The sequence below is a fragment of the Homo sapiens genome, chromosome 6 (genome assembly GCF_000001405.40).
Source record: "Homo sapiens chromosome 6, GRCh38.p14 Primary Assembly".
Classification (NCBI taxonomy): domain Eukaryota; kingdom Metazoa; phylum Chordata; class Mammalia; order Primates; family Hominidae; genus Homo; species Homo sapiens.
This window is the reverse complement of record NC_000006.12, coordinates 109,114,024-109,139,077: the sequence shown is the minus strand read 5'-3', so window position 1 is coordinate 109,139,077 and position 25,054 is coordinate 109,114,024. Positions and strand designations below refer to the sequence as shown.

The window sequence follows — 25,054 nt, the reverse complement described above, 5'->3', positions numbered from 1 at the left end:
ACTTAACATTGGCACCAAAGCACAAGAGTAGTCATGCTGGCAATTTAGATATGCCAGAGAGAAGCTGTAAAGTGCTTTCTTTCAGTGAAAAGGTAAAAGTTCATGACTTCATAAGAAAAGAAAAAAAATCACATGCTGAGGTTGCTAAGATCTACAGTAAGAATGAATCTTCTATCCATGAAACTATGACGAAGGAAAAGAATTGTTCATAGTATATATAGAGTTTGGTACTATCTGTGGTTTCAGGCAACTAAAGGTCTTAGAACATACCCCTCATGGACAAGGGGGGACTATTGTATGCAGTTTCTGTAAGCAAAATATGTATTTGATAAAAGGCGGTCATACTTATCTTAAAAGAAAACAAGGCAATACAATTTTTAACATTTCAAACAAGGCAAACTCCCTTTAAGGAACAATAGTTAATGCTGGCAAGAAAGCACACATACATAGCTGACAGGAATATAAACCAATAACACTTTTCTGGAAAGCAATTGAACAGGATATGTCAAGGACCTCAAGAAGTTCATGTTCTTTGATCAGTAATTATTATAGGAATCTCTACTAAAAAAGAATCAAAGATGTGCACAAAAATTATTATAAATGTCATCACTTTAGCATTATTTATAATATCAAAATTTTTGTCTTGATACCTCTCTCTCACATCCCATGTTGAATCTTTCAGGATACATACTAGCTCTACCTTCAAAATATATCTAATATCTGACCAGTTGGCCTATGCTACCATCCTAGATTATTGTAAGAGATTCTCTCCTAGTTCCTCAGCAATCTATTCTTCACCCAGCAACCAGAATAAGCCTTTTAACATAATGTCACATCATGTCATTAATCTGCTCAAAACTCTCAAAATGGCTTCACGTCTTACTCAGAGAAAAAGCTCAAGTCCCTACAATGATTTACAAAGCCATATATGAATTGGGTCCCCCACTCCCCAACTCTGACTCTCCTTCAGTCTCCCTTTTGTTCAGTCCTCTCTAGCCCCACATTGTCCTCCCCACTGTTTCTGTAATAGTCAAACATGCTCCTGCCTCAGGACTTTTTACTTCTGGTTCCCACTGCCTGGAACACTTTTCCTTTAGATATCTGCATGGCTTATTCTCTCCCTTCAGGTCTCTGCTCAATTGTCACCTGCTCTGTATCTGCTGACCATTCTTTATAAAACACTAATTCTATTTCCCTCCTTAGCACTTTGTATCCCATTTCTCTGCATTTTCTCCATTGAATGCAGAATTGTTTTGTTATTTGTCTTCTCACTGCCCTAACTAGAATGTAAGATCCATGAGGGCATGGGCCTTGGGTGATTTGTTCCCCACTCTATCCATAATGCCTAGAATTGTACCTGGCACAGAGAAGGTATTCAAAAATACTTGTTGAATAAATAAATATCCCAAACTAGCAATAACTCATTACATGACAATCATATACTGTAAAATTATACAGCCATTAAAAGTATGTTTTGAGGCTGGGAGCGGTGGCTCACACCTGTAATCCCAGCACTTTGGGAGGCCAGAGCAGGCAGATCAGTAGGTCAGGAGTTTGAGACCAGCCTGACCAACATGGTCCAACTCCATCTCTACTAAAAATACAAAAATTAGCTGGGTGTGGTGGCACACACCTGTAGTCCCAGCTACTCAGGAGGCTGAGGCAGGAGAATAGCTTGAACTTGGGAGGCAGAGGTCGCAGTGAGCCGAGATGGGGCCACCGCACTCCAGCCTGGGCGACAGAGTGAGACTCCATCTCAAAGAAAAAAAACAAAACTTATGTTTTGAAAGTCATGATATAACTAAGTGAGAAAGGATGGGATACTAAACTACACAAAATTATAACTTAGTAAATAAAACAAAATCAAAATAAAAATGAAAATACGCATCTTAAATATATTACTATTACAAACAAAAAAGGTTTAAACATATTGACTTTATTAAAAACAGAGTTTTTACTATACTTCTAGAATACAACTTATGAAAATAATGAAAGGTATTACAATGTTTAAAGATACAAGTTTTAGGCCAGGCGCCATGCCCCACACCTATAATCCCTGCACTTTGGGAGGCGGAGGTGGGCGGATTGCTTGAGACCCCAGGAGTTCAAGACCAGCCTGGCCAACATGGAGAAACCCCATCTCTACTAAAAATACATTGTAGGGCGCAGTGGCGCACATCTGTAATCCCAGCTACTCAGGAAGCTGAGGCAGGAGAATCACTTGAACCTGGGAGGTGGAGGCTGCAGTGAGCCGAGATTGTGCCACTGCACTCTAGCCTGGGCGACAGAGCAAAAGACTCTCTCTCAAAAAAATAAATAAAATAAAATAAAATAAAATAAAATAAAATAAAATAAAATAAAATAAAATAAAATAAAAATACAAGTTTCAGAGCAGACTTCTTTGGTTCAAACTGAAGCACCGCTGTGTGACCCTCATCAAATGTTTAACTTCTCTGTGCCTCAAATTCCGCATTTGCAAAATAAAGATAAAAATGGTATCTTTTTTTTTTTTTTTTATACTTATAGTTTTAGGGTACATGTGCACAACGTGCAGGTTTGTTACATATGTATACATGTGCCATGTTCGTGGGCTGCACCCATTAACTCGTCATTTACATTAGGTTTATCTCCTAATGCTATCGCTCCCCTCTACCCACACCCTACAACAGGCCCCGGTGTGTGATGTTCCCCTTCCTGTGTCCAAGTGTTCTCATTGTTCAATTCCCACCTATGAGTGAGAACATGCGGTCTTTGGTTTTTTGTCCTTGCGATAGTTTGCTGAGAATGATGGTTTCCAGCTTCATCCATGTCCCTACAAAGGACATGAACTCATCCTTTTTTATGGCTGCATAGTATTCCATGGTGTATATGTGCCACATTTTCTTAATCCAGTCTATCACTGAGGGACATTTGGGTTGGTTCTAAGTCTTTGCTATTGTGAATAGTGCCGCAATAAACATACGTGTGCATGTGTCTTTGTAGCAGAATGATTTATAATCCTTTGGGTATATACCCAGTAATGGGATGGCTGGGTCAAATGGTATTTCTAGTTCTAGATCCCTGAGGAATCCCCACACTGTCTTCCACAATGGTTGAACTAGTTTACAGTCCCACCAACAGTGTAAAAGTGTTTCTATTTCTCCACATCCTCTCCAGCACCTGTTGTTTCCTGACTTTTTAATGATTGCCATTCTAACTGGTGTGAGATGCTATCTCACTGTGGTTTTGATTTGCATTTCTCTGATGGCCAGTGATGATGAGCAGTTTTTCATGTGTCTGTTGGCTGCATACATGTCTCCTTTTGAGAACTGTCTGTTCATATCCTTTGCCCACTTGTTGATGCGGCTGTTTGTTTTTTTCTTGTAAATTTGTTTGAGTTCTTTGTAGATTCTGGATATTAGCCCTTTGTCAGATGAGTAGATTGCAAAAATTTCCTCCCATTCTGTAGGTTGCCTGTTCACTCTGATGGTAGTTTCTTTTGCTGGGCAGAAGCTCTTTAGTTTAATTAGATCCCATTTGTCAATTTTGGCTTTTGTTGCCATTGTTTTTGGTGTTTTTGACATGAAGTCCTTGCCCATGCCTATGTCCTGAATGGTATTGCCTAGGTTTTCTTCTAGGGTTTTTATGGTTTTAGGTCTAACATTTAAGTCTTTAACCCATCTTGAATTAATTTTTGTATAAGGTGTAATGAAGGGATCCAGTTTCAGCTTTCTACATATGGCTAGCCAGTTTTCCCAGCACCATTTATTAAATAGGGAATCCTTTCCCCATTTCTTGTTTTTGTCAGGTTTGTCAAAGATCACATAGTTGTAGATGTGTGGCATTATTTCTGACGGCTCTGTTCTGTTCCATTGGTCTATATCTCTGTTTTGGTATAGGTACCATGCTGTTTTGGTTACTGTAGCCTTGTAGCGTAGTTTGAAGTCAGGTAGCATGATGCCTCCAGCTTTGTTCTTTTGGCTTAGGATTGACTTGGCGATGCGGGCTCTTTTTTGGTTCCATATGAACTTTAAAGTAGTTTTTTCCAATTCTGTGAAGAAAGTCATTGGTAGCTTGATGGGGATGGCATTGAATCTATAAATTACTTTGGGCAGTATGGCCATTTTCACGATATTGATTCTTCCTACTCATGAGCATGGAATGTTCTTCCATTTGTTTGTATCCTCTTTAATTCCGTTAAGCAGTGGTTTGTAGTCCTCCTTGAAGAGGTCCTTCACATCCCTTGTAAGTTGGATTCCTAGGTATTTTATTCTCTTTGAAGCAATTGTGAATGGGAGTTCACTCATGATTTGGCTCTCTGTTTGTCTGTTATTGGTGTATAAGAATGCTTGTGATTTTTGCACATTGATTTTGTATCCTGAGACTTTGCTGAAGTTGCTTATCAGCTTAAGGAGATTTTGGGCTGAGACGATGGGGTTGTCTACATATACAATCATGTCATCTGCAAACAGGGACAATTTGATTTCCTCTTTTCCTAAATGAATACCCTTTATTTCCTTCTCCTGCCTGATTGCCCTGGCCAGAACTTCCAATACTATGTTGAATAGGAGTGGTGACAGAGGGCATCCCTGTCTTGTGCCAGTTTTCAAAGGGCATGCTTCCAGTTTTTGCCCATTCAGTATGATATTGGCTGTGGGTCTGTCATAAATAGCTCTTATTATTTTGAGATACGTCCCATCAATACCTAATTTATTGAGAGTTTTTAGCATGAAGGGCTGTTGAATTTTGTCAAAGGCCTTTTCTGCAGCTATTGAGATAACCACGTGGTTTTTGTCTTTGGTTCTGTTTATATGCTGGATTACATTTATTGATTTGTGTATGTTGAACCAGCCTTGCATCCCAGGGATGAAGCCCACTTGATCTTGGTGGATAAGTTTTTTGATGTGTTGCTGGATTCAGTTTGCCAGTATTATATTGAGGATTTCTGCATCGATGTTCATCAGGGATATTGGTCTAAAATTCTCTTTTTTTGTTTTGTCTCTGCCAGGTTTTGGTAGCAGGATGATGCTGGCCTCATAAAATGAGTTAGGGAGGATTCCCTGTTTTTCTATTGATTGGAATAGTTTCAGAAGGAATGGTACCAGCTCCTCCTTGTACCTCTGGTAGAATTCGGCTGTGAATGCATCTGGTCCTCGACTTGTTTTGGTTGGTAAGCTATTAATTATTGCCTCAATTTCAGAGCCTGCTATTGGTCTATTCAGAGATTCAACTTCTTCCTGGTTTGGTCTTGGGAGGGTGTATGTGTCGAGGAATTTGTCCGTTTCTTCTAGATTTTCTAGTTTATTTGCGTAGAGGTGTTTATAGTATTCTCTGATGGCAGTTTGTATTTCTGTGGGATTGGTGGTGATATCCCCTTTATCATTTTTTATTGTGTCTATTTGATTCTTCTCTCTTTTCTTCATTAGTCTTGCTAGCGGTCTATCAATTTTGTTGATCTTTTCAAAACACCAGCTCCTGGATTCACAGATTTTTTGAAGGGTTTTTTTGTGTCTCTATCTCCTTCAGTTCTGCTCTGATCTTAAATAACTAAGATCAGAAAAATGGTATCTTAACACAGGGGTCCCCAACCCCTGGTCTGTGGAATAGTATCCATTCTTGGCCTGTTAGGAACCAGGGTGCCCAGCAGGAGGTAAGTGAAGGTCAGCGAGCATTACCTCCTGAGCTCCGCTTCCTGTCAGATCAGGGCTGCATTAGATTTTCATAGGAGCGCAAACCCTATTGTGAACTGCGCATATCAGGGATCTAGGCTGCATGCTCCTTATGAGAATCGAACTAATGTCTCATGATCTGGAATGATCTAGGGTGAAACTGTTTCATCCCCAAACCATCCCCTTACCCCTGCCGCATCTGTGGAAAAACTGTCTTCCATAAAACCGGTCCCTGCTGCCTTAACATATAAGATTGCTCTAAGGATTAAATGAGACAACATAAGTAAGGTACTCAGAAATATGTCTGATACATAGTAAAAGTTGATACATGTTAGCAATTATTATATTTAAGGGATAAAGGAGAAGAACAATTCAAAGATAATTCTCAGACAGTCTAACTTGGCTACTGGGTAGATATTAATTTAATTAATTTACCAGGGACTAGTACTCAAAATACCTGAAGAACTACAAATCAGAAAGAAAACACAAAACCCAATAGAAAAAATAAGCATAAGGGACACTTCAAAATGAGGAAACATAAGTGGCTTATAAATATAGGAAAAGATGCTCAACCTCAGTAGTAGCCAGGGAAATGCAACTTAAAACCACAAACTAGCATTTCATATCTAACAGTTAGGCAAAATTTAAAACCGACAATATAAAATTTTAGAAATGATGTAGAACTATGAGAACATAAGTAAGTGTTGGCACATAAACTGGTACCAATTTTAAAACAATTTAGTATTATGGAATAAAATTAAATATGTATTTCTTTACATACACATATATACATACAGATAGATATTACAATCTAGCGAATAAGTCTTAGAGAAACTTTTACATATAATCACCAGGAAATACATTATTAAGAATATTTGTAGCAGCACTATTTGTGATAGCAAAAACTAGAAACAGCCGAAATGGATAAACAGATAAACTGTGGTATATTTACACAATGTCCTAACAAAGACAATGAAAAACCTGTGGTAAGGATTTCAATAAGGATGAATCTTAGAAAACTGTTGGGTGAAAAATGCAAGTTACTGAAGAAGAGTATCATACAATTTTTTGTTATTGTTGCTGCTGTTTGTGTTTTTCAGAGATGGGGGTCTCACTATATTGCCCAGGCTGGTCTTATTCATACATTTAGAGTTCTAATTTTAAACACATTTCTTAGATCTTTAACTGTAGGAATTCTTTGAAGTCAATGTTTAAAGCACTTTTCTTCAGAGAAAATTTCTATTTTTTCTGCTAGGATCCTGAGGCACCCCAAACCAAAAGCATCATTAAACTAAACCTTTAGGTTAAGATTATTTTTGCAAGGCGAATTTCAACTTCAAACCCACATGAGCATCGGATTGTGATGAGGATTTCTCAGGAAAGATTCTTTTTGTGTACTCCAATCAAAACCAAGGATGAGCTAGGCAGTGTCATTCTAAAGAGCAGGTTATTTTCCTTAAATTATCCACAGGGGATGATTCACACTTTGGGGATCTCAGCTTTATGTTGCAGTGTCCAAACTTATAACTCACAATGCCTAGGCTCAGACTTCCTCTGTCCCATGCAAGCAGGACTACTTCTTTAAAGCCCAGGTTCTGAGCCATAAGGTATCAGAAGGCAACTTTAGAGGTAAAGAGGTTCTATGGCTCACTTATCTCCACAGAATTGGGCCTTCTCATTATTTACAGGCTTGTATTTTCACCTTACTTTGCTGTCAACTCAAGCATACTTAAAAAAATTTTTTTTAAGTATTTTATCCAGCATTTAAAAATGTGTTCTTTTACCAGAAGTTTCTCTGAACATCTAGTCTGCCATATTGCTTGAAACAAAATACTGTAATAGCTTTAGACATACTTTAGAGATACTAACTGCTTCAGACAAACCAGTTTTAGTTGCACACACAGAATGATACTTAGGCTTCAAAAAAGGAAAAGGAGTTTATATCTTTCCATTCCAGCTACAATTCTCAAAAGTATTCCATACTGTAAAGTTTGTTCTTCTTCAATTACAGTAAAATGAATATTATCTGGTTAGTTATTAACTAGAGAGTTCACTAGCAGGATTCAGATAATAGAACAAACAGTAAACAATCTATAGGCTGAGAATAAGAAAAAGTATCAGAACCTAATTCAGGTCTTAGGCACTATATATTCAACATTAAAAATATGCAATGACTTTATAGGAATACTATAGTAACCATCAAATCCAGAAATTTAGAAGCAGTTTAAGTATTATTATACTTCAATGACATTCATGTATAATGTATTAACAGTAGCAGCAAATCTTACATTTAATATACTGATCTTTTGACATTCGAATTGATCTACTTAATGTAATTTATAATTAACTTAAAAAACATTCCTTGATAGATATGAAAAATCATCATTTTGTAACCATCACAATAAAGGCTGATTTAGGCAAGAAGCATCAATAGCTGCTAAATCCAGGGGATACAGTTTAATGAGGAGCAGGATATTTGCATGGTCCTAAAGTGTATTTCCCATAGAGTGCTTATAAGATGCAAGGAAAAACTAGTAACTTTATAGTAGAAAGACAAACAACACTCTGATAGGATGATTAAAATTAACATCACCTGTGAGAGGTAGAAGGCCACCATGTGCCTCTGGATATGAAACCTGGAGAAGGACGCAACATCACCTATGCAGTATTCTGGCCAGAAAGCATAACCTGAATCTCAACATGAGAGACACCACATAAACAACAAATGAAAAGTGTTCTATTTTTCTTTAAAAAAAAAAAAAAAAACAAAACCAGCAGAGAGGGGGTTGTTTTCTTTAAAAATGTCAATTTCACAAAAAAAAAAAAGACAATCACACTTCTGCATATGTATTCAGAAGAACCGAAAGCAGGGTCTCAAAGAGGTATTTGTATACCTATGTTCGTAGAAGCACAATTCACCATAACCAAAAGGCAGAAGGAAACCAAATGCCCATTGATAGGTAAACAAAATGTGATATATACAAGCAATGGAATATTAATCAGCCTTAAAAAGGAAGGAAACTCTGACAGAGGCTTCAATTTTGATGAACCTTGAAGATATGATGCTAAGTGAAATAAACCAATCACAGAAAAGACAAACATATGATGTTTGTCTTATGTAAGTTTGTCATATATGTGTTTCCACTTATATGAAGTATCTAAAGTAGTCGAACTTACAGAAACAGAAGGTAGAATGGTGGTTGCTGGGGGGGAGTGAAATGAGTTACAGAGTTTCAGTTTTGCCAGATGAAAAAGTTTTAGAGATTGGTTGCATAACAATGCGTAGTAGGGGAGACAAATATGATAAAAACAATCTTTGATTCGATGGGCTTGGTTCCATAACAAAAGCATATGCAGAAAGCCATGGGAACACAAAGGAGAGATTAACACTCTCTGATTGATGGGGTGATAACTAACTTCAGAATATAATCTGAATATAATCAAAATATAATCAGAAATAATCTGAAATTACGAACAGTTTTGAAAGAGAAGTTTAGGTTAATATGGCAGAGTGAACATACATACTTACTTTTGCTCCCACTTGGAAACTCACTAAAATAATATTAAAACAATTTTTAAAGAAATTTTAAATTTTAAATTTTAAATTAAAAAAAAAATTTTAAAGAAAGATATAAACCTGCGAAGAGAAAGATAAGTAGAGGTGACAACAACAAAACTTTGGAAAATGGAAAACAGATGTATGAGTAGTAACAGGCTTAGCTAATGCAAAAAGGCAGACTCCTAACCCAAGTAAGAAATGTGACTTTTTAAATTTTACCCAATAGGATCCTCGAATGGCTCAGGAATTAGCCACACCTCTGTAAGCAGTAGGTAAGATTGAGCTGGAAACTAGAGAACAGGTTGAAAATTTAATGTAGAAGTAAATTATATGCCCAAATACCCTCTGTCTTTCCATGCAGCCAGAAGAGTACTCTACCTTCATCTGGGAAGATCAGAATTTTGTTTTGTTTCTTTCTGAGGAAGAAATTACAGAATATCTCTGGATTGGGGGACACTCAGCACAATTGAGGGAGGGCACCACACTGGAAGCTGGAAGACTGATCAGTTCCCAGAATGTCGGCAGTCTATATTATTATATCCAAGTGAAGAAGTGAGGATCCATTTTCTAGGAAATATGAATAGCTTAAGTTAATAAAGATACTAAAGGCGATAAAATGAATTGATTGGATAGATTTGGAGTTTCCAGTTAGTTTTTTTGGTTTTTGTTTAGAGATGGAGTCTCTCTCTGTCGCCCAGGCTGGAGTGCAGTGGTGCGATCTCAGCTTACTGCAACCTCTGCCTCCCAGGTTCAAGCGATTCTGCTGCCTCAGCCTCCCGAGTAGCTGGGATTACAGGCGCCCGCCACCATGCCTGGCTAATTTTTTGTATTTTTAGTAGAGACAGAGTTTCACCATGTTGGCCAGGCTGGTCTCGAACTCCTGACCTCAGGTGATCCACCTGCCTCGGCCTCCCAAAGTGCTGGGATTACAGGCATGAGCCACTGTGCCCGGCCTTCAGTTAGTTTTTCAGTGCTCCACTCTTACATATAAGCTATCTAACCAAGGCTTACCAGACCTTAGGAGAGACAGACACCAAAGCAAACAAACAATAAGAGGTTTAGCAGGAACACGAAAACTGGAAATATACCATTAGTGAAGACAGAATGTATAATCATTGAGAACGATGATAGATCCTAGTGAATTTGTTTGGAGTATAGTGAATAAATGTTGGCAGTAAAAAACAGGCTAAAAATGCATAAGGGCCATGCCACAAAGGATTTTGTATATCACATCAAGGAGTTTATAATTTATTTGATTAGACCATAGGGAGGTAATTAAGGACATAAAAGGGAATAACATGACCAGGTTTGCATTTTGACAAGTTCATTCAGACGGCTTTAAGGTGAACAGACAAAAGGAGGAAGAAATTATAGGCAGATGGACAAATTAAGAGGTTACCAAAATAATTCAAACACGAAAAATATAGGTCTAAAATAGGACTGGAGTAGATGAGATAAATATGAAAGATGCTGAGAAGATATAATCAAAAGAACTTACGAATCTGCTACAAATATGTAATAGGAGAGAGGAAAGACTCAGAAATACTCCTCAAAATTTTTGGTTGGGCAAATGGGTAGATAGTGGTGAATTAATGGAAATATGGAATAATATAAAAGGGGCTACAAGTCTTAGGGAAATAATGAATTCTGTTTTAGACATGTCAAATATGAGGTGCTTACAGACACAGAACTGCCCAGCAAGCAGACTGAAATATGAATCTGGAGGTTAGGTGAGCATTTAGGCTAGATCTAGAGATAGAGATTTGGTTATCAATTAGATCACCCAAGGACAGTATAAAGAACAGCAATTTTCAGTGTGTGCATTGTGTGCATGACAAAAGAGGTAGCTGAGACTCACTGCCTTTGTCCATTAGGGAACCATTGTTAGTCCTCCTCAGATGTGTTGAGACAAAATTTTATAAAAGGTTAAGAATCACAGGTTTGGTCGGCCGCAGTGGCTCATGTCTGTAATCCCAGCACTTTGGGAGGCCGAGGCGGGCGGATCACGAGGTCAGCAGATTGAGACCATCCTGGCCAACATGGTGAAACCTCGTCTCTACTAAAAATTAAAAAAAAAAAAAAATTAGCCAGGCGTGGTGGCACGTGCCTGTAATCCCAGCTACTCGGGAGGCTGAGGCAGGAGAATCGCTTGAACCCAGGAGGCGGAGGTTGCAGCAAGCCGAGACTGCGCCACTGCACTCCAGCCTGGGTGACAGAGGAGACTCAGTCTCCAAAAAAACAAAACAAAACAAACAAACAAAAAAAGATTAAGTATAACAGATTTGGGAGACAAGTGAAGGAAAAAAAAAACTCTCAAAGGAGATTAAAAAAAAGGAATGTTAAGAGAAGTGGGGAAAAAGCAGGAGAAAGTGGTAACAAAGGAGTAAAAGTGAGAACAAGTATTTACTATTTTCTAATACACTATGCCTCCCTGAAATATAAAGAACACAGGACATGGCTTCTGCTATCTGACTGAATTTGCAATTACACTGTTGAAAAAAGACTCACACAAGACGATGAGATGGAGAAAAAAGAAAAGGGAAGGGGGTGAGTCAACAGTATATCAAGTAAAATTGGTTTATTTCATAACTACTAATAAATTTTTACTAAGCAGCCTCCAAACTCATTAAATAGTCTGAATATAAGAAATACATTATTACATGAGTAGAACAGCCAGTTTTTGGTTTTTTTTGTTTTGTTTTGTTTGAGACGGAGTTTCGCTCTGTCGCCAGGCTGGAGTGCAGTGGCGCGATCTCGGCTCACTGCAACCTCCATCTCCCGGGTTCAAGCAATTCTCTTGCCCCAGCCTCCCAAGTAACTGAGACTACAGGCGTGCGCCACCGTGCCCAGCTAATTTTTGTATTTTTAGTAGAGACGGGGTTTCACCATGTTGGCCAGGATGGTCTTGATCTCTTGACCTTGTGATCCGTCCGCCTCGGCCTCCCAAAGTGCTGGGATTACAGGCGTGAGGCACCGTGCCTGGCCAACAGCCAGTTTTTTAAGAGTACAAAGTAATGCCAATCTTTTACAAATATTTTATAAATTATAATATAGCATCTAATTGTTCATGTGCACAGTTAATTCAACTCAATACATGCAATAAGAGCTATCTAATTTTCAAATAAACTCAAGTGCTGAATTTAAAATAACCAGGCTTATGAACATACTAATAATTAGATTTCTCCTTATTGAATGTGTATCCATTTAGTTTAGAACATATAATGTCTAAGGTCACTTAAATGATTAGACTCCCCATCATCTTTACCAAGATTTAGTTTATCTTGACTATTCAGTTCATGAGAAAATGTTCCTGATTTAACATAAAGTAAATGAGGAACAATATAAAACTGTATAATTATAGTCTATTTTTTAAAAGGACAAAGATAGATACAAATAACAGATTAAAGTAATTAAATGTTAATAGATGGACAACAGATTTTCATGTTCTTACTTCTACCTTCTAAAACATTGTCCACAATGAAACATTTTACTTTTATAATGAGAAACAGAAATCTAATAAAATATTTTCTCAATTAGACTTCCAAAGAGGTAGAAAGCAGCTGGAGATTTAGAGTATCAATTATTTATACAAATATCTGTTGGAAGCACTTACATATTTTCATTTGTAAGGGTCTCATGTCTCTTATCTCAACATAAACTCAGAAAGGGCAATTATGTTTATTCTTTCTGTAAGTCTCCACAATCCAAATTCCTACGCTCTGCAAAGGGGCATACATATCTTCAGGGCCTAATCCAAAAAATATTTGTAAAAATAAATCCTCTGAAACTAATTTGTTAGGTCAACAACTTTTTCCTACCTCCCTATGCTAATGTTTGTTATGGTTGAACCCAGCAAATCAGTAAATACTGTCCTAACTTAAAAAAACACACACACATATTGTGCTTTAATATGTACTTTTACATACAGGTTTTAATTTAATATCATTTTATTTAAGTAAAGCATAATTCTTAGGATTTGAAAATATTACTGGTAATATTTCTTCAAAAAATTCTAAGTTAAAAAATAAGTGATTTTGAAAGGGTTTCAACATTCTTATAATGTTTATTATATTTATAAGGATAAAAGTATACTATCCTTATTTTTGTTGAACTTTAAACATCTCTATCCACCCGTCTATCAATCAATCAATCAATCAATCAATCAGTCAAGACAGGTTCTCACCGTGTTGCCTAGACTAGCTTCAAACTCCTAGGCTCATGCAATCCTCCCACCTCAGCCTCCCGAGTAGCAGCAGGTGTGTGCCACCACACCCTTTTCTCTTTAGAATGGTTGATGGTAAACTTAGTAAAGACAGACAGAGTTCAGAAACTGGTTAAAAAAAAAATATATATATATATATGTATATATATATATATAGCATTTAAAAACTAATGGCACTCAGATTAGTTGCTACAAATCCACTTTCTAGGCCTTTACATTTTTTTTTCCACAGGTTGAGCAGACTTAATAGTCAGAATTAATTGTGGGACTTCACTGATTAGTCAGGCTGCCTAAGGAGGAATGAGCTATTGGACAATGATAAATAACTAAAGCTTGCCTAGTTCAGTACCAAAATTTATTTCGACTAGTTTTAAAAGAAAGACTCCTAAAGTGTTTAAACTGCTTTCCTTCCTTTTAGACAGAGTATATTCAACACAATTTAACCTTTAGGATGACTCAAGGATAGCATCATAGCATTTTAATTATGCACAATGATACTTAGGGACCCCGTGTGATACTTGTATTGTTTACCCCTTCACTGGAAAGTTCCAGACTATCCTAGACTCTGTTTTCTGTCTTTTCATCTCTTGCTACCTCTTCCCTTGCTGTCTACCTACCTGTTTCTAGCAGAACACTCCTTTCTAATTGGTTTCCCAACCTATAGCAAATAAGAAACAACAAAGCAATCAAGTTTCATTCATTAAACATTCAGAGATGAAAAATACAACCCCAGGCAGTCCCTGAAACATCCACAACTTAATTATGCTACATAGGATGCTATGGGAATCCAGAGGAGAAGCATCTGACCCAGAGTCTGGGCATTTCAATGATGACTTCCTGGAGGTGCTAGTTCTTAACTGAGACATGAAGGGTGAATACTTGGTACTGAACTAGTAGTATTCTGAACTAGGCAAGCTTTGGCATTTCACAAGCAAAAGAAAGTGAGAGAATGGGTAGAAGAAAAGATCAAGTTCACAGACAGAAGAAATAGCATGGTAATAATAAAAATAATGATATCTCACATTTATTAAAAACTTCTTCTGTGAATTAACTTACTAAATCCATGTACCAATGCTATGAGGCACAATTATTCCTATTTTACAGATGAGGAAACTGTGGCACAGAAAAAACTGTTTCATCCAAGGTCCATACCTAGTTAAGTGGCAAAGTCAAGATTTGGCAGTCTGGCTCTAAAGTTCACATTCTAAATCACCACACTATATTGCTTATCTATGCAAAATTATGAAAGCAAGAGAGAATCCAGTGTTTTGAGCAATCTACTCTGAGTGATTTACTAAAGCTGGAAAGTCGTATAGTGCCTAAATATTGCAGAAGATGAAGCAGAAACCAGATCTGAGGAGTCTCGCATGCCAGGTACAGGTGTTTAGATTTTATCCTGTAGGTAGTAAAAGCCATGCAGCAGAGGAGTAGCAAGATCACATTGCCTTTAATAAAGACTTTTATGAAGTAAGAACGACAGAAACAACCAAACGCTCAAAGTACAGGTAGGAGGCTATTCCAGAGCTCTATGTGAGAGATGATAAGGCAATAGAAGTGGTTCTTTTTTTTTTTTGAGACAGAGTCTCACTCTGTCGCCTGGGCTGGGCTGGAGTGCAATGGTGCGATCTTGGTTCACTGCAACCTCCACCTTCTGGGTTCAAGCAATTCTTCTGCCTCAGCTTCCCAAGTAGCAGGGATTACAGGTGCACGCCACCATGCCTGGCTAATTTTTGTATTTTTTTAATAAAGACGGGGTTTCGCCATGTTGGCCAGGCTAATCTTGAACTCCTGTCATCAGGTGATCTGCCCGCCTTGGCCTCCCAAAGTACTGAGATTACAGGTGTGAACCACCATGCCTGGCCAGAAGTGGATCTATTTAGGTATTTCCTGCTACTAATCCTATGGAAAGGAAGAGAAAAACTAGAGAAAATTAGGATGTCAAATTCATAGAACTTATGACCAGAACAAGGAAAACTCGTGACAGGGAAGAATGAAATAAAGTTGTAACCAAGGTAGAAAACAGATTTTGAAAGCAGTGGAGGTGGTATAAAACATTATTTTAGACATAATTGAGGTGCTTGTGAAATAACATTTTTTAAAAAACAGCTAACATTTATATTGAGCTTGCTACATGTGAGGCACTGGTCAAAGAAGTTTACATGCATTGATTGAGCCACTGAATCATGAAGGCAACACTATGAGGTATTAACTTCTTTTTACATAAGGCATCTGAGAAGTTAAGTAACTTGCCCAGGGTCATGCAGCTATTAAGGGGCTGAGCTGGGATTTGAACCCAGGTATCCTAGTTCGGAGTGTATTCTGTCTTTAATAGAGACATGCCAATTTTATAGATGAGTTTGACATTCAAGAATTGTTTAAAGATAAGGATTTGGCCCCAGCTAGCTCAGTCAGTAGATAATAATAATAATAATAAAAACAAAGATAAGGGTTTGGAAGTCATCAATATACATAGATGGCAGCTGAAGCCATGAGTACTGAGTTAGATATAGAGTATGCAGTCTAAGTGTGGTCCTTCAATCACTTAGGTAAGAATACCCTGAGAATTTTTATTTTTAATAAACATGCAGATTCCTAGGCCCCACCAAGGTCCATGGAAACAGAAATTCTAGGGATACGGCCCATAAATATATCATTTTGATAATTATCCAACTGATTCTTATATAAATTAAAGTTTGAAGATCACTGAAGGAATGAGCAAAGAAATGTGTAACAATGACATTGAGTTTATTAGAAGTGTGTCTACAATAAGAGTAAGCAAATTCTGAAGAAGGATGGTAGTAGGGGCCTGGGTAAGTGTCTGATGAGTCTTTTTTTTTCTTTTGAGACAAAATCTCACCCTGTTGCCCAGGCTGGAGTGCAATGGCACAATCTTGGCTCACTGCAACCTACGCCTCCCGGGTTGGGTTCAAGTGATTCTCTTGCCTCAGCCTCCAGAGTAGCTGAGGTTACAGGTGTGCACCACCATGCCCGGCTAATTTTTTGTATCTTTAGTAGAGATGGGGTTTCACTATGTTGGCCTGGCTGGTCTCGAACCCCTGACCTCGTGATCCTCCCACCTCGGCCTCCCAAAGTACTGGGATTACAGCCATGAGCCACCGCACCTGGCCCTCTGATGAGTCTTTGATCAAATCTAAGCCACAATAAATTATAAGATGTATTATTCTTTCATGTACCATCACCACCAAAACAACAAAATACCCCAAATAAGAGCCTCCCATGTAAAGCCAGAACAACAAAAGGGGTACAAATGCAATATAAACAAATGAAAAATAAACCCAGCATTCAGAATGAGACAGCAAGGAAACCTGAAAGTCTCCATCTGTACACAAGATAGAAGCAATTTTATCTAAAAGCCAGTATTCACCTAGCTTTGCAGTCTGAATTCATATAACCAGTGGGGTCAAAACCAAAACACAGCAAAACCAACAAAGACAAAACAAAACAAAAAAATCTTTCAGGCAGAGAATTTAACTTAAAGTAGTCTCAGATTGGTAGTAGTGCAAATAACTGGCAGAGCGAAATGCAAATCCTTTCTGAAGTAATCTGACTTCAATTGAGGCCAATAATGATTACAAAACATTTCCTTATCTTAGACATTTTTTAATTTCTAAAATTTCTAAAATATGCATCTTAAAGCCACTGAAATACAGTAGATAGAATGCATACCAAGCTATATTCTGAATGCTCAGAATCTTTGGCAGTGGGGTTATTTTCGGGTTCTCAAATGTACTTTATAATTTCATACAGGTGTTGATTTGTTTTCAAAATAACTATAAAACAAAGACACTATTAAAAATTATAAAATTGTTTCCCTTTCCATCACATTTAACCATATTTATAATTCCTCTAAATATAAAAAGTCTCATCCATTTTAAAACAAGAACCCCAAAGAGTGAGATCAGACCACTAATACCTGTACCCTAGAGTCTATGTAAATGCTTCCACACTCTGGGATTTTGATAATGAAATTGGAAAATTCATCACAGGCCCTGGTAACTGTCCAGACATAACAAGACAAACAGCAAACTTTGTTCCTGCCAAAGATGATGATTTACAATCCTAGTCTGACATTTGGTATTCCCTCTTTTGCTTACAGGCCAAACACTAACTTAATATTTTCATTACATCCAGAGTATCCTGGCTCTTTTTAAGAAAAATTAATCCCTTCTTAACAATGCCACAGTGAAAAAAAAATTATTTAAGAACTTCTGTAATTTTCCAGAAAAGCAGTCTTTTCTTAATTCAAACATACATTTCCTATCTATTCCAAGAGTAGTACAACACTGCACAAATTACACACCATAGTTGCTCTGGGGTCTTTTAAAACTGCAAATTTCATTGTACAGCAAGCACATCATCCAAATGAGTTGCTAGATGACTAAAATTGCTTCAGAATGAAAATAAACACCAACTGATCACTGTGGGGAGTTTCATAATCCAAAAGTGTAACTTACAAATAAACCAGTTATACAAACAACCACTGCTAACTTCCCCGTTTTTAGTGGGTGAAGGTCCTCAAGAGTCCTTCTCACAACACAGTCCTGTCTAGAGCAAATGATATAAAAATTCTAATCTGACTCTCATCCTTGCCACACCCCACTAGAGCACCTCTTTCACTCAGGAAAACTATCCTACCCCCAGAGCAAATGTTTGCCTATGAGTGAGTGACTGTGTGTGTGTGTGTGTGTGTGTGTGTGTGTGTGTGTGTGTGTGTGCGTGTGTCTAAGTATAGGAATTTTCTAAGACTGCAGAAAGTGAAGTAACAGTTTCCACATCCCTATCTATAATTGAAAATTCACTTTCCCATAGAAACAAGGGAATAATGGTTTCATAGTGACACTACGTTTCTAACCATTTTATAACAATAGTGTTTCTATGTGGAACTGTGTAAAATCCACTGAATATGAAAGTCAACCTACTTAGTAATTCTTGGGATGATATGTTAGTATAATTTGTGTGCTATAAATATTTAATTTAAAACATTTTAAGAGTAGCCCATAATCCCATTACACAGAACCCCCGTTAACATGTTTTTTAATATCCACAGGTAACAAAACTTAAACAGCACAGAAAGTCACAAAATGAAAGTAAAATTTTTCTAATCCTGGACTGCTGATTCCCAACTACACCCACTACCTTCCCCTCTCTGAAGATAATCATCTTCAACAGTTCTTGAGAACAGAAAGAAAACAATTATTTATAGACCTAAGCACTTTTCTTTTGGAGACTTTCCTATCATACGCATCAACTGGCAGCCAATGCAGAAAAAGGTTCATCAGATTCTAGAATATGGCAATCTTGTCCCTCTAGAAATGTTACCTTCATATGAATTTTTGTTTGTATAATGCATTTTCATGTTTTCATGTACCTGTAACCTAGATTATTTGATAATGAAGTATAGCATAGTGGTTAAGAGGTAGGTTCTGCAGCAAAACTCCTTGGGGATAAATCCTGTGTGATCTGCAGTAGGTTTCTTAAACGTTCCTCCTATCTATAAAATGGGAATAATATGACTACCTGTTTAAGACAATTATATGTAATGAATCAACATGAAGTACTAGAATAGAGCTTAGTGCACAGTAAGCACTCAACACATGTTGCCTATTATTGATATCCAGAAATCTTTATATTTTGGATATTTCATCCAAATTTTTGTCAGTAAAATCACTGATGTGCATGATACTGAGAAACCACAAAATCAAAAAATCTTTTTTGAACTATCAAAAACTACATTATATCCAGTGTTTCTTAACATTGTATCATACTATAATCCTAATGTCTCCAATAGGTAATCTATAAACAGTATATCACTTTTCAAGTGAAATGCTTGATTCCCCACATAACCTACTTATAACTTTATACTGCTCCTGCACAAACCTAATTTTTACACCTAATGCCTTCTCCAGGCCCAGCCCTTCTTAAGAGACAATATCACTTTGGAGTTTGCACTCATTTATTTGTTCTTTACTTCTGCCTAAGATAATATTTTTTTGTCAAGTACTGACTACCATTTCTCTGCATTTTAACAGAGTTCATGTCTACTTGAATGTCCTAAAGGCACCTCAAACGTATATCCAAAACTTAAAGCACCATCTTTGCCTCAAAACAGTTTTTCTTCCTATATTTGTAATCTCACTTAATAGGATCATCCTCCTACTCCCCATTCTCAAGTCCTGAGGAGGTCAACACGTAAAACACTTCTTGACTCACCTATCCTCTCCCATCCTTACCACCACTGATTAGGTGTCCCAGCCTAGGCCCTCATCATTTATTGGTCCCATTACGTAGCCTTTTGAAGTGATTTTCCTACTACTAATTATGTTTCACTAAAACTATTTTTTACTGTGCCCCTAGAGTGATCTACCTAAAATTAAAATCCAGCCATGTTACTTCAATGCTTCAAACTCTTCAGTGACTGCAGAATAAAGACCTCCTCAGGGCATATAGGGCTCTCCATTACTCATTATCTAGTTCTTTTCTCCTGCCCCTGCTGAGTGAACACGTTTCTAATGTTCCTATTGTTCTCTCTTCCAGAAATATTCTTGCCCATTATGTAAGACACAGTTTATCAGTTAAACTGTCCATGAAGTTTTCCCTTTCCTGGCTTCCTGAGGCTGGGCTAATTAACTTTCCTCTGTGCATACCTATATGTTTAATATATATTGAAATAATAATCTGTTCATGTCTTCCCCACTGAACTGCACGCCTCATTCATCAAAGTCTTATTCATCTTTGCAATCTCAGCACCTAATTTAATACTTAATAAAGGCTTGCTAAACTGAAATGAATTAAAAGCTATGTGGAGCTCCAAGACAAAACCTACCGAAAAGTCAGAGCAATATAAGGTAAAAGGAAGATGTCTATACCATTCAGATCAGAGAGAGTGCTAGCTACTGATTGTAGTGTCTGAGTTATTCTGTGACGAAGCAACACAAACACGGGTTTGTCATAACATTGCTTTCCTTGGTATTGAGAGCTCAGAAGTCATAATTCCAATTCTTATTCGTATTAGCAAGCTTCAGTATGTTAACTACAGTGACGTTTGACCCACATGTCTGAGGTGAACAACTGTTTTGAAAGGCTCAAGTAATCTACTGATGCACAGAGATGTTGATAGGCTGCAGAGACACACCATTAAGCCCCTTACTTTTTTTTCAAACCAGACTTGTTGGCACAGCTGTTAAGGTATTAACATGAGGAACAGCATACGTTGTCAAATAGCCCAGAAGGCAAAAGGACAAAATCTGATTTTCCTGGCTAGCTGAGGTGGGAGGTTAATTGATAAAAATATATTTTACTGGCCAGGCTCACGCCTGTAATCCCAGTTCTTTGGGAGGCCAAGGCAGGTGGACTACCTGAGATCAGGAGTTTGAGATCAGCCTGGCCAATATGGTGAAACCCTGTCTCTACTAAAAATACAAAAAATTAGCTGGAGTTGGTGGTGGGCGCCTGTAATTCCAGCTACTAAGGAGGCTGAGGCAGGAGAATTGCTTGAACTCAGGAGGCAGAGGTTGCAGTGAGCCGAGACCGTGCCACTGCACTCCAGCCTGGGCGACAGAGTGAGACTCCGTCTCAAAAACAACAACAACAACTATATACATTTTACTTAAAATGCACCTACAAAAATATGTATTACTTTCCTCTTAATGTTGCAATTTTTCATCCGTTTCCAATGTGCTTATTTAACTTACATCTCACTATGCCAAATGCTGAAAGTGCTGAGGGCCTTCCAATTACCACCAGCAGCCAAAATAGAGGAGCACAGAGAACAGCCTATGATGTCGAAATGTAAGAGATCATTATGGCTCCAATTGAACTTCCCTTGTATCCATATAGACGTTGCCTGTGACTGTATCTGCATAATTCACTTCGCTTAATATTGCAATGTCTATTTAGTAAAATTAATGTTGAGAATCTGCATAATTTCCTAATTCCTTTCCATTTCAATTCCAATACTGTTTGCTAAGCATCTATCATGTGCCAAACTTTGTGCTTAGAGCTGGAAATGGAAAGAGGAAGAGGTCACAGTCTCAGGGGAAAACAAATGCAATGCCTCACTAACTCAGGACTTTGAACTTGCTCTAAACTAGTACAGATTTGGTGCCCATAAAAAGTGGGGTTAACCCTCCAATGTTGCTTTCGTCATAGTAGTTGGCCCAGTTTGCCAGTCTAGCCCAGACAAGCCCTAGCTAAGACAGCCTCAGGTTCCTTCAATATGATCACCTTTCATCCTTCAATTAAAAACTTCCTATCAGCAGCACATTACAGACCATCAAAAGATAGAGAAGGTTTGTAGAGCAGCAAAGCCAAAAGGTATAGTCAAAGGCATTCACAATAAGTTCAATCATAAGTAATATTCTCTTGTGTACCTGAATATTGCCTACAACTTCTTATGCTTACGTTATATATAAATCCATGATATTTTACTATAATAGCTGAGACTAGAATGAGAGTGTTTGGAAAGAAGTTTGACACAAACATACTATATATATATTTCTGATTATAAAAGTAATACATGTTCATTCTACAAAATTTTGAAATTATAGAAGAAAATAAAAATCACGGGAATTTTATCAATCTCAGATTATTAAAATATTGTTAACACACTTTTGGTATATATTAAATCAGTCTTTTATTATTTTAACCAAAGTTAGGACTGTACCATGCTTGTATAAATTGTCTTTCTACTTAATATGTGATAAATGTTTTCTTGAATCATTATCTTTTTTTGTATATCATTCTTTAGAAGTATGTTTTTCTTAATGGCAGTACATAAATGATTTTGTAAATTACCAATTTTTTCATTAAGAAACAGGCTAGCAATTGTGTTGTTAGGTCAAAGACAGTTTTAAATGCTTCTGGTACATATTGTCAAATTGTCTGGGCCTGTTTTGAATTAAGGCATTACTGGAGATTTTTAGAACTTAGAAAAAACTCCTGAAGGTCACAATTCTCACCATGTCTTGAGATTATTTCTCCAGTCAATAATACTATACTTTAGACAAAGTTTCTCTTGGATAACCTCTTATCAAAAGCTTTATGACAATCAGAACCTAGAAAAAGATTGAAACTGTACCTATATAAATAAAGTAACATATATATCAATTAGTCTACTCTACTGTTAAGAAAAGTATCTCTAAAATGCTTATGGGAGCTGGGCGCCGTGGCTCACTCCTTTAATCCAGCACTTTGGGAGGCCAAGTTGGGCAGATCACCTGAGGTAGGGAGTTTGACACCAGCCTGACCAACATGGAGAAACCACCTCTCTACTAAAAATACAAAATTAGGTGGGCGTGGTGGCATATGCCTGTAATCCCAGCTACTTGGGAGGCTGAGGCAGGAGAATCACTTGAACCTGGGAGGTGGAGGTTGCAGTGAGCCGAGATCATGCCATTGCACTCCAGCCTGGCCAACAAGAATGAAACTCTGTCTCAAAAAAGTAACATAACATAACATAACATAACATAACATAACATAACATAACATAACATAACATAACACAACACATAACATAAAATAAAATAAAATAAAATAAAATAAAATGCTTAATAGGGAGGAAATAGAATTCCAGGAAATACCTAAAACAAATTTACTTTCCTTTTTTTGACCAAAACTCATAAAAATACAGATAAATCAAAATTGTTGAACTCAATTCTATAAAATGTATGTAGTCTTACTTATATAGTATATTCTTCATATCTGCAATAAAAGGCAAAATCTAAAAATATCAACTTAACATTTGAAAAGTATTACCACTTACAAGCTTTTACACGCTAAATTTAGTCTTAACAACCTTAAAGAATGCTATTACTATTACTACAGTCACTTTTTAACACATTAGGAAACAGATGAAAAGATTGGGTGACTTGGCTAATTGAATATGTATAAAAAATGAATAGCAAAGCCAGAATTCAAACCCAGGTCTCCGGACTCTAACTGTGGACCCTTTTGATTTCTGTACTGCTTTCCATAAATCATAAATAATCAAATTTTTCTTTATACTTGGCTTCAGATTTTTTAAAAAAAATAACAGATTTATTTTCTTAACGTTATTTATTTAAGCCAAAATTAAAATAAGTTTGCATTCCCTGAGTGCACACACCGACAATGGGTGGGCCAACTAATAAAACTACTGATAGCACATAGATGCCAGCTTAAAGTTAACATTTTTCCATTGTATAAATCCACAAACAGAGAAACATGTTTGGCTGAGCGTAATCTAATTTGTAAATTTCCCAAAGAAAACAAACATTACAACTACTAGAATTGTTTTCCCTACAAATAGAGTAGTGTGGAGACTACAACTGAGAACAACATGAAATTCCTTTAAAATGACACTCTGAAGGAGTGTCATTTCTCTCTTTTCTCTCCTTTAAAAAAAAAATACATATATACCCATAAATAAATATTTCCTACCATTTCTCCCTTTTATCCACTACTACCCCTAACTTCTAACAATGAAAGAATAAAAAATTAACAATAGAAGATTTTTGAAGTTGTTAATGTATAACTTTTACAAAATCAACTATCATTAATTTAGCCATATTTTAATGTATGTATTAATCATGGTTTATCTGATTAATTTAGTTGCTTTAACAAATATAGTTTTACATTTTGTATTTTTATTAGTTTTATTTTAATTGGCAAATAATAATTGTATATATTTATGGGGTATAAGGTGATATTTCAATACATGTATACATTGTGGAATGATCATATCAGAGTAATTAGCATATCCATCACCTCAAATATTTACCATCTCTTTGTAGTGAGATATTTAAAATTATCTCTTTTAGCTATTTTGAAATATAATAACTATAGTCACCTTGCAGTGTAACAGAACACCAAAACTTATTTCTAGTAACTTAACTTTGTACCCCATTGATCAGCATCTTCCCTTTCCCTGTCCACGCCCTACAACTCTCCCACCTCTCTTCCCATCCCCTGCCCCTTGCCTCTGGTAACCACTATTCTACTCTCTACTTCTATGATTTTGACTTTTCTAGATTCCACATATAAGTGAGATTACAGAGTATTTGTTTCTCTGTCCCTGGCTTATTTCCCTTAATATGATGTCCTCTAGGTTCATCCATGTTGTTGAAAATGAAGAAATTTCCTGTTTTTTTTTTTAAAGGCTAAACAGTATTCTGTTGTTTCTATATACATGAGGGGCTAACACCCAAAATATACAAAAAACTCAAACTATGAAATAACAAGAAAACAACCCTATTAAAAATGGGCAAAGGACTTAAATAGACATTTCTCAAAAGAAGGCATACAAATGGCCAACAGATATATACTTTAAAATGTTCAACATCTCTAATCATCAAAGAAATGAAAATTAAAACCACAATGAGATATCAGCTCATACCTGTCAGATTGGCTATTATCAAAAAGATGAATGACAACAAATGTTGGCAAGGATGTGGAGAAAAAGAAACCCTTATACTCTGTAGGTGGTATTGTAAATTGACACAGTTATTTTGGAAAACAGTATGGAGGTTCCTCAGAAAATGAAAAATAGCATTACCATATAATCCAGCAATCCCACTGCTGGGTATATACCCAAAGCAAAAAAAAAATAAGTACAGAAAGGGGTGTCTG

The 25,054-nt window shown here is 36.8% G+C and overlaps 1 protein-coding gene across 21 annotated transcripts in view; it reads right to left on the bottom strand.

Annotated features, from left to right (window-relative positions):
• Positions 1 to 25,054, bottom strand: part of CEP57L1 (centrosomal protein 57 like 1) — a 79,256-nt gene that overhangs the window by 35,341 nt on the left and 18,861 nt on the right. For 4 of the 21 annotated variants that reach the window (NM_001350658.2, NM_001350653.2, NM_001350657.2 and 1 more), the window contains one exon: positions 9,586 to 9,774. The exons of the other annotated variants lie outside the window; for them this stretch is intronic. The gene's annotated coding sequence lies outside the window, so the exon portion shown is untranslated. Of the gene's footprint in view, positions 1 to 9,585; positions 9,775 to 25,054 lie in introns of those variants that run through there. 21 annotated transcript variants of the gene reach the window in all.